Source organism: Homo sapiens, chromosome 2 (genome assembly GCF_000001405.40).
Source record: "Homo sapiens chromosome 2, GRCh38.p14 Primary Assembly".
Classification (NCBI taxonomy): Eukaryota; Metazoa; Chordata; class Mammalia; order Primates; family Hominidae; genus Homo; species Homo sapiens.
In genome coordinates, this window is record NC_000002.12 from 219,676,907 (window position 1) to 219,690,341 (window position 13,435).

The window sequence follows — 13,435 nt, forward strand, 5'->3', positions numbered from 1 at the left end:
GAGTGGGTAGCAGGTACTCTTCATTTTCTGTGTGTGTCTGTCTGTTGGAGTTTAGGGACCTCTTTTTTTTTTTTGAGACAGAGTCTCACTTTGTCGCCCAGGCTGGAGTGCAGTGGTGTGATCTTGGCTTTCTGCAACCTCTGCCTCCTGGGTTCAAGCAATTCTCTGCCTCAGCTTCCTGAGTAGCTGGGATTACAGGCGCCTGCTCCCATGCCCGGCTATTTTTTTAATATTTTTAGTAGAGACGGGGTTTCACCATCTTGGCCAGGCTGGTATTGAACTCCTGACCTTGTGATCCGCCTGCCTTGGCCTCCCAAAGTGCTGGGATTACAGGCGTGAGCCACCGAGCCTGGCCAGGGACCTCTTTTTATAATACATAAGATTATAAAGGAAGCTGATCATATTGTAATATGGCTGTCCAAACACTAAAAAACCAAACAAAATCAAATTTGTGAATGTAGTAACAGTTTATCTTTTGTATTAGCCCATTAAATAATAAAACCTAGCAATAGTTTTATAATCACCCTAATATTGAAGTAGTTATGAGTATAAACTATATATTTTAGACACTGCAACAACTGTAGTGTGACATGAAATATCTGTGGTTCTGTTGGTGACAAAGTCACAGGTATGTTAATACCTCCATGTGAGTGCCTACATTCTAATTGAGAGAAATGCTAAATTTTAATTAGAGGTTAATGCAGGCAGAAAGGGGTCCATGGTTTGTAATAAATTTAAAAACAATGAAAAAATTGAAGTTGGTCTTGCCGTCTTTTATTTTTTATTTTTTTGAGACAGAGTCTCACTTTGTCACCTAGGCTGGAGTGCAATGGTGCAATCTCGGCTCGCTGCAACCTCAGCCTCTCAGGCTTAAGTGACCTTCCCACCTCAGCCTTCCGAGTAGCTGGAACTACAGGCACATGCGACCATGCCTAGCTAATTTTTGTAATTTTTGTAGAGACAGGGTTTCACCATGTTGCCCAGGCTGGTTTCAAACTCCTGGGCTCAAGTGATCCTTCTGCTTAGCCTTTGAAAGTGCTGGGATTACAGGTGTGATCCACCACATCTGGCCAGTCTTGATTTTATTATCACTATGTACCATTGGCTTTCAAGATTGTCAGTGGCCAGGCGCAGGGGCTTATGCCTGTAATTCCAGCACTTTGGGAGATGGAGGCTGGCGGATCACCTGAGGTTGGGAGTTCGAGACCAGCCTGACCATCATGGAGAAACCCCGTCTGCACTAAAAATACAAAATTAGCTGGGTGTGGTGGCGCATGCCTGTAATCCCAGCTACTTAGGAGGCTGAGACAGGAGAATCACTTGAACCCAGGAGGCGGAGATTCAACAAGATCGGGCAACAAGAGTGAAACTCCACAAAAAAAAAAAAAAAAAAAAAAAACAACAAAAAAGATTGTCAGTGACAAAATACATCCCTGCAGGGGGCCAAAGGTTCCCATTGCTTGTCTTCCTCACCCCCATATGCCACTGAATAGAGATGTAATTCTGGTATCGTTGTTTCCCCATCTAAGTTCAAAGACACCTAAATCCTATCCATGGACTCCAGGTTACAAACTCTTGTTGTATGGTGTGTCATGGTATGGGGGGTGGGCTTTAGAATCAGACAGGTCTGAGTTTGAGCCAGCTGTGTTATTCATTAGTTATATGACCTTGAGAAAATTGCTTAACCTCTCTGAGAATCGGTTTCCTTCTCTGGATAACAGGGTATAATAATGGTGCCCTTCCCATCATTGTTGGGAGGATTCCCTGAGATTCTAAAGTGAATGACATGGTGAGCACTGTGTTCGGCCCTTGGAGAGGGCTCCATCAATGGTGGTGGAGCTGACCGTCATTGTAATGGTTGATCTTCCCATTGGCGCTGTGCAAAGGTACTATTGCCTTGGTTTATCAGCTGAGAAAACCAGTCTTCAAGTCTGCCGAGGTGTTCTGATGGGGCAGGAGATGCCTGCTGTCCTGCTGTCACCCAACTGCCAAAGAGAACCTGATTTGCTCTTTCTCTCCACCATCCTGCCCTCCTGCCATGGTGGGCACCAAGTTGCAGACTCCAGGACCAGCTACCAGGAGCCCTGCTCGGGCCAGAACTGACCTAGGATAGGAAGGGTTTCCCTGGATCAGTGGGAGCATGTAGGTAGGTTCTACTGCCCAGCGGGAAGGCTATGCTGGCATTCCAAAGCCCTGCCCTAACCCTCCCCTCATATGAAGTTCCTTGACTTTGGAGATCACTCCCTCTTAGAACCCTTAAAGCCCTCCTGGCTGTGCCACTCATCTGGCACTTGATGTACATGCGGATGTGGTCATTTTTCTTACGCCAGCTGCTCTCCTCAGTTAGATCATAAATGGATTGAGGGCAGGGAATGGCAAGATAATTCCTGTGGATGGAAGGAATTCTGTCTTCCTCCCTCTCTAGCTGAAAGCCTTGGACATAATAAGTGCTTAGTGAATGCTTATTGAATGAATAAAGAAAATCAATGGTGAAAGGATGAATCACAGAATCATGGCTCCTGGGTGCACTTCTTAGAGCTGGTTTTGTACTTTGCTGCCCGGGTCCCGGGCCTGTCTGTGTTGTCATATATCACTGAGCCTCACAGGATGTTTGCAAACACCTTGGGAAGTGGGCAGGGCAGCTAGTGAGGCTCAGAGCCAGAATGCCACTCCAGAGGCCTGACTCCAGGGAAGGTGTCTTTTCCACTTTACCTGGATGCCTTTGTCCCTTAGGGCTGCTATAACAAAATACCATAGACTTGGTAGCTTATAAACAACAGGAATTGATTTCTCACTGTTCTGAAGGCTGGGAAGTCCAAGAACAAGGCAGATTTGTATCTGGTGAGGACTCACCTTCTGGATCATAGATGGTGCCTTCTCGCTGTGTCCTCACATGGTACAAGGGGTGGAGGAGCTCTCTGGAGCCTCTTTCATGAGGGTACTAGTTCCATTCAAGAAGGCTCTGCCCTCATGACCTAATCACCTTCCAAAGGCCCCACCTTGTAAAACCATCACACTGGGGATTAGGTTTCAACACAGGAATTTTGAGAGACACAAGGATTCAGACCACAGCACCAGAATGCGGCTGAGAGCTTAAAGTCTCGGCAAGCACTGGCCCTGTACCCAGAGGTTAAGATTTAATTGTCTGAGTGGGGTCCCTAAAACTTGCCAGGTGGTTGTATCCCACCACCCCTGACTGAGAACCACTGCCCTACTCCAACATGGAGGTGGACCAGGCAGCATGGGGGCTTTCATGGGCATGAGTCCCAGCTCTCCTACCCACTATCTGTGTGATCCTGTAAGTGACTTGACCTCTTTGAGCCTCAGTTTCCTCATCTGTAAAATGGGGACAATGATAGCGCCCAGCCTCTAGGTAGGTTGAGGAAATTGAATGAGACAATGTGTGAACTGCTCTTAACATGTCATAAGTACTCAACAAATGGTAACTGCCATTATTATTATTATTATTATTATTATTATTATTATTATTATTCTGTTGACATGCATGAGTGAAGGTGGAGGAGAGCCTCTGGCCATAAAGCTGTCCCTGTCTTGTGTTTCATGTAGGTCTGGACCCAACATCCCAGCACACATGAGCACCTTGTGCCCAGGAGAGGGCTGCTTGGCTGTCTCCAGCCCCTGTACCCAGCAGGCCATGGAAGTTTGAAACTGTAACAAATCATTTATTATCCAGGAAGGAGGGATGTAAAGGGAGAGACTTCTGCATTTAAAGCATTTTTACTTTATTAAGAGTCTTTCTGATGTAAAATATGCTCACACAGTCACTTTCCACGGCAACTACATTACCATTATTTTCAGCACTCTGAGGAGAAAATGAGATTAGGTGTGGGGAAGCGGCTGGAGTAGGGTGAGCATTCGAGGGCTGGATTTAAATCCAATTCTGCAGGTTGAGTCTGTGTTAATGCAATATTATAGGATTTGGAGGCAAGGGCCTCTGTGGCTTAATCCAAGGTTCTCCAACATCTGGGTCATTGGCAATGTCACTGCTGCTTTTATTCTAACTATATCGAGAGAATAGTCAGGGTGAGAGCTAATTCTGAATTCCCACAATTGGTTGCCTTTAAGGCACCAAATAGGCACTCCTGCCAGCAGAGCTTTCTTGATCACAAGAGACCTGAAATAGAAATGGTTTAACCCTTTCTGGATGATTAGACAAGGCAGGGGAGTCCACATCCCCAGTATCTTTCCACTCCTTTCAGATGAATTTCAAACAGGAGAGCTTAGAGATCAAAGAAGGATGCACATTTAATTACCCCACTGCAGCCACAATCTGCTCAAACTGCCAGGAGGCCCCATGAACATGAGCAAGTAGCAGCGCCACAGTCACCAGGCATAGATTTATCAAAGTCTCATGTGCTGGGCTCTCTGAAGGGTGTAGTGATTGAGAACTCAGCCCCTTCCCAGAGGGAGCTCAGATTTTAGTAAGCAAAAAACTGTAATAAAAGATACAACTGTGACCAGGGCCTTGAGCAAGCAGGGCAGTGACTATTCTTAGGCTGACCTAATAGCCGTTCCCTATCTCCTTCTTATTTTCCTTGTCTACTCTAGGGGACTTAAATCCTCATTTCCTGCCCTCTGTTGCAACTAGTCAGTGATGATGTGGTTTGGGGTCATGAATTTTAAGTGGAAGTCTGCTAGTGGGTTCCAGGAAAACTTCTGTTCTCCGGATTAAAAAGGAGGAAGCAACTGGTCCTCCTACTTCTCCTTTATTCTTGCCTGGAAAGCAAATATGATGCCTGGATGTGTGGCAGCCATCTTGCAACCGTGAGGCTGAGAAACGGGTTCACCAATAACCAGTCACAAGAGAGGACCCCCAGTGCTTGGAGGACGGCAAAGACTATCACTATGCCAACCACCATGACTAGGATTCTGAACACTTCTGCCCATTGCATTGCGGGCTGTAGTTTTACCAATTGCCTGAGTCCCGTGAGATAGAACAGACTCACATGCAACAAGTTACAGGAAATGGATTTATTACTCAGCAATAGTCAGCAAGGGACAAAGAAGACTGGGAGCCACTGTGAGCCAGTCCCCTAAGGAGTGTGAATGTGTTCAAGAAAGCTGCCCAGGGTGGATGGAGTTTCCACTGCTTGTGCCCTACTTTCATGGCAGCTGAGGGCCCCTAAAAGATAGCTCATTTCCAGTTAAAAGCCTCAGGGGCTCCATGACTCACCGAGCAAAGCTCGGAAGGACATCCTACTTCCAGGGAAGAGAGGAACAAAGTGTGGGCTGTCCTGAACAGTTCCCTCTAACTCAAGATCTTACATTCCCCAGGAGAAACAGGAAAAGAGCCAAGCTCTTTCAGGCAGTCCTATCTCAGGATGTTGCATTCCAGCACATTCTAAAGTTATCCTGAGAACTACATGCAGAAAGGAAGGGGCTAGGAACTGGGTCTTCCAAGTCCATCTGGGGACTGTACCAGATAAAGGCCACTGTGGAGATGCTGTCCCTGATATTGTCAGGCCCCCAAAGCAAAGTTGGCAGCTGCCTTCCATGAGACGACCTCTTATGTGAGGAAAAGAAATCCCTATTTATCTAAGCTTCTGTAGTTTTGTGTGCCCTGAGGCTCAATGTAATCCTGATACAGACACGGAAAAGTACAGATTAAGTGTCAGGGGGCTGTCCAGGTGGGACAGGGGAGTTGGCACAGGAGAGGTAAGGAAAGACTTCATGGGGGAGGTCGTGGCATTTGAGTGGAGACTTAAAAGACTTCAGGGTTAAATATGTAGAGATGGGAGGAGAGTAAGCCATGGCGTGGGCAGAGGCTGATGTGGGAAGCAAGAACCGCTGGGGAAAAGAGGTGAGCAGGTTGCAGAAATGAAACCCAAGCCTGAGTGAACAACAAATACTCGTGTGATTGGGAAGCCCAAGGCTGGACTCACTTCAGACATGTTTGTATCCAAGAACATACATTTTATCGTTGGGAGTTTGTTGCCTTTTCAGCTCTTCTTTCTGCCTTTGTCCTTGAAGAGCTGCCTTTGAGCAGCAGATAGGATGACCAGTAGTCGTGTCAGACCCACATTCTTCCAGCTTAGGAACGTGTGTGGAACGAGAAGGTTGGACTTCTTTTTTGTTTGTTTTTAATGCATCAAACGCATTCACATTTATTTTCGTTTTTTAAAGCAAATAATAAAGACCCAGTTTACTGGCTTTACTTTTTTAAACCTAAGCTTAACATGACATACATAAACAATTGTCAAAACGAAGTCATCAGCATTCATGCACAATTGAAAAACATCCTTAATGTGTATTAAATCAGAAAGTATTACCATTAAAGCATGAATATCTTTCACTACTAAATACCGAATAAAATCGAAATGATTTCTGTAAGAGATTCATCCTGGCAATGTTAATGTCATAGCAGGCTGATACTACTTGACTCACATTTCAGACACAACGGAAAAGCAGGTCCATGCTGGTATCAGTGTATGATCTTGTCCTACCACTAAAGAGTCAAGGCTCACCTTGGAGTAAGTTTAATAAAAAAGCAAAGTGCAAACAGAGATTTACAACAATTTTAAAGACCAAAAAAAAATGGTCTCTGTTATGGTTTGGCTCTGTGTCCCCACCGAAATCTCATCTTTTAGCTCCCATAATTCCCACATGTTGTGGGAGGGACCTGCTGGGAGATGATTGAATCATGAGGGCAGGTCTTTCCTGTGCTGTTCTTGTGATAGTGAATGGAACTCATGAGATCTGATGGTTTTAAAAACAGGGGTCTCCCTGCACAAGCTCTCTCTCTCTTTGCCTACCTTCCATGTAAGATGTGACTTGCTCCTCCTTGACTTCCACCATGATTGTGAGGCTTCCTCAGCCACATGGAACTGTAAGTCCAATTAAACCTCTTTTTTTTCTTTCTTTTGTAAATTGCCCAGTCTCAGGTAAGTCTTTATCAGTAGCATGAAAACGGACTAATACAGTCTCAAATAAACTCAAAAGTCTATGACAAATAGGGGCTCTGATGAGCTGTTTTTAAATACTTTAGATTAGGTGCAACTATACTGAAAGGCAAGTTTGTTTGAAATCGTCAAAAAATTGTTCCTGTTAATCTTCAAATGGTGCTTGTTGTAGTTGAACATTTCTGTTAAATGTGTGCATTGAATTGCTTGTTATCCAAGCTCAGCTGCTGCCTGCCCCTCACCATGTATTGTTAAAGACTTTATTTAACTGGCCATCATTTAACTGGCTGTCATCTTCAACTTCTACTCTTTCTTGACAATTCTCTTTGTTGTGGTTTTTCTGCTGTTAACCATTTTAGTAGAAGTTGATATCAATTTGAAGTTGCCCATCCCACTACCACCAAATGACATGGAAGAGAATGAAGTGAGGCCCCTGTGACCTAGTGACCTGATTGAAATAAATCCTGTATCAAAAGAAGAAAATCCACTTCCAAAAGATGGAAATCCAGTGAAGGCAGAGAAAAATGACCACATCCCTCGGCCTCTGCTTCCTCGGGGATCCCCTCCAATTCCCAAAAAAGTCCTCAAATGAATCTTCAAAGGAGTTGAATGAAAATGGGTCCCTTCCACCAAATAGTTCCCTGAAGACATCACCTGGGTTATGGAATGTGAAGCCAAGCTCACACGGACTGACAAAATGACTTCTATCTCCTACCTCCCTCATTTAATACTTCTTGGCTGTAATTGTCACTTTTTTTTTTTTGCTGTGGATGTCTTTTTTTTTAAAAAAAGCATCTGGTAGCACCTCATATGGCTCAGTCACTTGTTTGAATTTTCTCTCTGCTTCTTTCCTCTCAGGGTATTTTTTTTTTCTGGGTGCCAATTCAGGGCCAGTTTCCAATATGCCTTTTTAATGTCCTCAGGTGAGGCATGTCTCTGCATGCCTGGAACTTCTTGGTAATCCACCCTGTTTTAGCAGATTGCTGGAAAGAGGAGGCAGGGAGACAGCCCAGGTCTCCTCTGGGCTCCCGCACACTGTGCTGGTGGTGGCGGTGGCAGCCCCTTGTGCTCTCCTTTCTCTTTCGCCTCTTATCCATGTATCTGGCCTTGACAAGATCACCATTGGCCTGGGTTGGCTGATTCCCGATCAATTCACCACAGACAGAGAGATCTGGGGACCTCTGAATCACAAGTGTGGGCAGGGTCTCCACCTGAAACGTCACCAAGTGTTTGATAGCCTCAAGGGGCCACAAAGAGTGAGGGTGAGTTCCCCAAAGGGTCAGGAGAAGACAGTGGGTAAAGCATCCTGGGTAGACTAAACCACAGTCTTCTATAAGCAGGTAATTTAGGTGCAGCTGAGACAGACAGGTAGTCAGGGCTCGCCGGAGCGGCTCGGATCCACCTACGCACTGGGAGGAGGGTGGAGCCACGGAAGCTCGCACTATTTGCAGTGGGGAGGAGCTTGGCCTCTCCTGTTCTGGGTTGGTACCCTGGGGATTCAATCTGTGAGGCAGGAAGCCAGCTAGTAGGACTTTCACTTTGTTGGGAGTTCCTATTTCCTTTTTTTCCTCTTTGCCCAATAAATTCAATTTTTCTCACCCTTCAAAGTGCCTGTGAGCCTAATCTCTCCTGGCTATGTGACAAGGACCCCGTTTTTAGCTGAACTAAGGAGAAAGTCCTACAACATAACTAGATGAGGTTACGGCAGGCACTAAATCTGCCCCGAGTGCTTGACTCAGCCTCACTTGATCCGCTGCAACAGCCTCCCCTCTGGACTGAGATGGTGAGCATCAGCCAAGGCAGGACTCGGCACACGGTGCAGTCAGCAGCCTCTCCAGGGACATGCCAAGGTTTCCAGGAGGCCAGTCTTTGCTGGAAATTTCTCAGTGACCACTTTTCCCCCTTTCTTTCTTTCTTTTCTTTCTTTCTTTTTTTTTTTTTTTTTTTGAGGTGGAGTCTCACTCTGTTGCCCAGGCTGGAATGCAGTGGCGTGATCTCGGCTCACTGCAACCTCCACCTCCCTGGTTCGAGCAATTCCCCTGCCTCAGCCTCCGGAGTAGCTGGGATTACAGGCGCACGCCACCACGCACAGCTAATTTTTTTTTTTTTTTTTTTGTATTTTTAGTAGAGACAGGGTTTTGCCACGTTGGCCAGACTGGTCTCAAACTCCTGACCTCAGGCTAACTGCCTGCCTCGGCCTCCCAAAGTGCTGGGATTACAGGCGTGAGCCACCGTGCCTGGCCTTCCCCCTTTCTTTACCTGCCTTCCTGTTGGATGGATACATGGCTATTTTCTTACTGTTAGAGACACATTCTCTCTCTCTCTCTCTCTCTCTCTCTCTCTCTCTCTGTCCATCTCTCCTCTCCCTTTGTCTCTCTCATTAAAGCAAATAACATAGCAGGAGGAATGGGAAAAGTAGCAAATCCCAGGCTAGTCTCATCATTTCTGGGCTGAAATGGAACCACTTGTGGTGTGTGGAATCGTGGCATCCGGCATGCCACATTCCCTGCTCCCTGTTGTCCTGCCCTGTCTGTCTGCTACAATCACCTGGAGCCCCTCCCTCAACCAAGACATCAACAACAGAAACAAAACTGCTTCCTCTGACCAGCAGGAAATTTCCAGGTGAACACACTCTGGCTTAAGTAATTAGGCAAAGAATGTGGCTTTGTGCAGTTGTGGAGAGACTCAACTTGCTCTTAGAGTCTTTGTTTCTGTTCAGTCCCTGGAGTGCCCCTGCTTTCACTGCTGTCCTTTGCCACTAGACCGGGCAGAAATCCGCCTTTTTCCTGCATTCCTTCCACTGTTGTTGATTCAGCTCATTTTACATACCAAGGCACCTTTCCTGATTCCATTCTTTGGCCAAAGACTCCCTCAGAACTTTAAGAACTTTAAGCCACCAAATGCAGCAGGCACTTTTTTTTTTTTTTTTGAGATGGAGTCTCGCTCTGTTGTCCTGGCTCACTGCAACCTCCACCTCCTGGGTTCAAGTAATTCTTCTGCCTCAGCCTCCCAAGTAGCTGGGGCTATAGGCGAGCGCCACCACACCCGGCTAATTTTTGTATTTTTAGTAGAGATAGGGTTTCACCATATTGGCCAGGCTGGTCTCGAACTCCTGACCTCGTGATCCGCCTGCCTTGGCCTCCCAAAGTGCTGGGATTACAGGCGTGAGCCACGGCGCCTGGCCAGCAGGCACCTCTTATGCTTGCTTTGAAAATATACTTATGAGGTTAGTGCCCATCTTCCTGTCTTATGATTCGAATCCTTTCCTTCTTTCTTCCCTAATTCCTGTTCTTTTTCTCTCATGACCCCTGGCTACCCATTAGCCTTTGGAAAAATTCTATTATGTTTGCCTGTTTGTTTTTTTCTTTTTAATGTATATGTTACCAGAAAGGGGTCCCAATCCAGACCCCAAGAGAAGGATCTTGGATCTCACACAACAAAGAATTTCAGGCGAATCCACAGAGTAAAGTGAAAGCAAGTTTGTAAGAAAGTAAAAGAATAAAAGAATGGCTACTCCATAGACAAAGCAGACCCGAGGGCTGCTGGCTGGCTATTTTTATGGTTACTTCTTGATCATATGCTAAACAAGGGGTGGATTATTCATGAGTTTTCTGGGAAAGGCGGGGGGTGGGAGGATTTCCTAGAACTAAGGATTCCTTTCCTTTTAGACCATATAGGGTAACTTCCAGAGTTTGCCATGGCATTTATAAGCTGTCATGGTGCTGGTGGGAGTGTCTTTTAGCATGCTTATGTATAAGTAGTGTACAATGAGCAGTGATGATGACCAGAGGCCACTTTTGTCACCATCTTGATTTTGGCAGGTTTTGTCCAGCTTCTTTACTGCATCCTGTTTTATCAGTAGGGTTTTTGTGACCTGTATCTTGTGATAATGGTCCTGCCAACCTCCTGTCTTTTTTTTTTTTTTTTTTTGAGACGGAGTCTTGCACTGTTGTCCAGACTACTGGAGTGCAGTGGCGCAATCTCGGCTCACTGCAAGCTCCGCCTCCTGGGTTCATGCCATTCTCTTGCCTCAGCCTCCCGAGTAGCTGGGACTACAGGCGCCCGCCACCATGCCCAGCTAATTTTTTGTACTTTTAGTAGAGACGAGGTTTCACCGTGTTAGCCAGGATGGTCTCGATCTTCTGACCTCGTGATCCGCCCACCTCGGCTTTCCAAAGTGCTGGGGTTACAGGTGTGAGCCACCGCGCCCGGCGTAACCTCCTATCTCATCCTGTGACTAAGATTACCTAACCTCTTGGGAATGCAGCCCAGCAGGTCTCAGCCTCATTTCACCCAGCCACTGTTCAAAATGGAGTCACTCTGGTTCGAATGCCTCTGATGTGTACAAATCTATTGTGCTCATTGAAGCTTGCCTTTTTATACACTTCTTGGCTCAGAGAAATACTTTTTTTGGAGGCAGCAAATGTAGCAGAAAGAACAGGCAATTCTGAAGCAAGAAGAGTGATATGGTTAGGCTTTGTGTCCCCACCTAAATCTCATCTTGAATTGCAAACCCCGTCATCCTCACAGGTCAAGAGAGAGACCAGGTGGAGGTAATTAAACCACGGAGTGGTTTCCCCCATGCTGTTCTCGTGACAGGGAGTGAGTTCTCACGAGATCTGATGGTTTCATAAGGGGCTCTTCCCCCTTCATTCGGCCCTTCTTCCTCCCACCTTGTGAAGAAGGTGCCTTGCTTCCCCCTCACCTTCTGCCGTGATTGTAAATTTCCAGAGGCCTCCCCAGCCATGCTGCACGGTGAGTCAATTAAACCTCCTTCCTTTATAAATTACTCATTCTCGGGAAGTTCTTTATAGCAGTATGAAAACAGACTAATACAAAGAGTTTTCTGTGTTAACTCCCGGCACCGTCACTCACTGTTGTGACCTTGGGCAAGTTGCTTAAGCTCTCTGTGTCTGTTTCTTAATCTGTACAGTGGGTATGATATTAATACCTATCTCATAGGTATTTTTTTTTTTTGGTCTTAAATGATTCATGGGAAAAGTATGATGTATGCTGAGAAGCAGCACAAAGACATTTCATGTGTGCGGACCTCATGTACGTGGACCATGTGGAAGGCAGCTTTAGTCCTGACTGCAGAAAAGCGATGTTCACATGCGCGTTGGGAACTGGCCTGCGCACCCAGATTCCCAGATCCAGGAAAGCCCTTCATTTCCAGTGCTTTCCATCCTCGCTCCAGCGGCAGATGTTAGAAGCTGACTGAGATGTTTTCTGGATTAATTGCCCCCAAACATTCAGGGTTTTATGTTTTAGAATGTCTGAACAGGTTGGAATTTGAATCTCCCTTCTGCCACTCCTTGTCTTATTTTGGAAATGAACTTAAAGTCACATTTTTGAGATTCCGACTATGTGACGCATTGAGCTATTTGGAGCGTTGGTTTGCGGCTGTTTCTAAGCCTGGACTCTTGACACGGCTTTGCCTGCAGCTCTGGACTCTCCCTCAGGCTCCAGGGCTCCCTGTGCCCTTGCGGTGCTCCGGCCTCTTGGCTTCTGAGTTAGATTGGGCATCTCTCAGATTCCTTGGCTACTGAGTCTGTACATCCCATGACTCCCGTCCTCCCTCTCCTTCCACAAGCCGGTCGGTGACCACGCAGCCTTCTAGGTGGTCCAAACTTTCTGGAGCTTTCCACTGGGAAGATCCTAATAGCCCTAATCCCTCCTTTAACATCAAGCAGAGCTGCCCTCAATCTTTTAATAGAAGCAGGTGAACTCCGACTAGATTTTTTGTGCACTAGTGAGGCTTGCTGTGTTTACTGGTATATAGGATACATTCCCCGCTTTTCCCAAATGATGGATTATATATGCAAAATAAAATTTTATACTTTATATATGAATAATGTATATGTTACAACATAAGATATATTACGTATTACATAATACTATACACATAACATATATCAAATATATGGCATTGTACGATATCTAATCGTTTATTATATACACAAGTTTTCTTGTCAGTCTTACGCTTTGGTATCAGGCACAGCTGGAAGGCTGAGAAAGAGGTAAAATAATGGGGCATGCTACCCCCTAGTGGCAGAAGATGGCAACATACATTTTGCAAATGTGAGCGCTTTTCATCCCCTTATCAAAAAACAAAACAAAAACCAGAGACCACACAGATGAATATGGAATTTGAGTAACTCCCCTATGTTATGAATTTAAGTATTTTTTCACTGCAACTCATATTCCTAAATACCAAGATATTTCTTTTTAGCTCTGTGATTTTATTCTTGTTTTTAGGGATACTAGACTGTGTATCAAAACCGTACTATTTTTTAATGGAGTCACAATCCTGTGTACTATATTTATAGGAATAAAATATTTCCCTTACAGCTTAGTCTTTATTTTTCCAAAAAACTTTCTGAAAAATTGAGATGTATCTGATATCCCCGCGCATTTCACATGTTGGCAAACATGGCATTTTACTGCCTCTGGTGCACAAAAAGCCCTTGAGCGCTCACCTAATGCTTCTGTGAAGTCAAGGGTTCCGAGCACGC

General features: G+C 45.5%; 1 pseudogene across 1 annotated transcript, besides 7 other annotated features; it reads right to left on the reverse strand.

The window, feature by feature from the left end:
* Positions 1-6,999: 6,999 nt before the first annotated feature.
* DNAJB6P3 (DNAJB6 pseudogene 3) lies at positions 7,000-8,127 on the reverse strand (annotated as a pseudogene). The gene is made up of 2 exons (XR_007088093.1): positions 7,827-8,127; positions 7,000-7,694 (listed from the first exon to the last, which is right to left on the reverse strand). The product of XR_007088093.1 is annotated as a DNAJB6 pseudogene 3 (transcript).
* Positions 7,105-8,304: an enhancer, noted in NCBI's record as "MED14-independent group 3 enhancer chr2:220548733-220549932 (GRCh37/hg19 assembly coordinates)". NCBI's record gives its function as "activates an origin of replication core promoter dependent on BRD2, BRD4, P300/CBP and CDK7 cofactors, and independent of MED14, by STARR-seq in HCT116 cells {active_cell/tissue: HCT116}" and the evidence as "EXISTENCE:reporter gene assay evidence [ECO:0000049][PMID:35650434]".
* Positions 7,441-8,004: an enhancer, noted in NCBI's record as "H3K27ac hESC enhancer chr2:220549069-220549632 (GRCh37/hg19 assembly coordinates)". NCBI's record gives its function as "activates a minimal SCP1, AML or CMV promoter by ChIP-STARR-seq in primed H9 embryonic stem cells {active_cell/tissue: H9 hESC(primed)}" and the evidence as "EXISTENCE:reporter gene assay evidence [ECO:0000049][PMID:30033119]".
* Positions 7,781-8,075: an enhancer, noted in NCBI's record as "tiled region #8386; HepG2 Activating non-DNase unmatched - State 4:PromP". NCBI's record gives its function as "activates a minimal TATA promoter and a strong SV40 promoter by Sharpr-MPRA in HepG2 cells {active_cell/tissue: HepG2}" and the evidence as "EXISTENCE:reporter gene assay evidence [ECO:0000049][PMID:27701403]".
* Positions 10,825-11,388: an enhancer, noted in NCBI's record as "H3K27ac-H3K4me1 hESC enhancer chr2:220552453-220553016 (GRCh37/hg19 assembly coordinates)". NCBI's record gives its function as "activates a minimal SCP1, AML or CMV promoter by ChIP-STARR-seq in primed H9 embryonic stem cells {active_cell/tissue: H9 hESC(primed)}" and the evidence as "EXISTENCE:reporter gene assay evidence [ECO:0000049][PMID:30033119]".
* Positions 10,825-12,268: a biological region, named in NCBI's record as "CDK7 strongly-dependent group 2 enhancer GRCh37_chr2:220552697-220553896".
* Positions 11,069-12,268: an enhancer, noted in NCBI's record as "CDK7 strongly-dependent group 2 enhancer chr2:220552697-220553896 (GRCh37/hg19 assembly coordinates)". NCBI's record gives its function as "activates an origin of replication core promoter dependent on BRD2, BRD4, P300/CBP, MED14 and CDK7 cofactors, with strong dependence on CDK7, by STARR-seq in HCT116 cells {active_cell/tissue: HCT116}" and the evidence as "EXISTENCE:reporter gene assay evidence [ECO:0000049][PMID:35650434]".
* Positions 11,389-11,952: an enhancer, noted in NCBI's record as "H3K27ac-H3K4me1 hESC enhancer chr2:220553017-220553580 (GRCh37/hg19 assembly coordinates)". NCBI's record gives its function as "activates a minimal SCP1, AML or CMV promoter by ChIP-STARR-seq in naive H9 embryonic stem cells {active_cell/tissue: H9 hESC(naive)}" and the evidence as "EXISTENCE:reporter gene assay evidence [ECO:0000049][PMID:30033119]".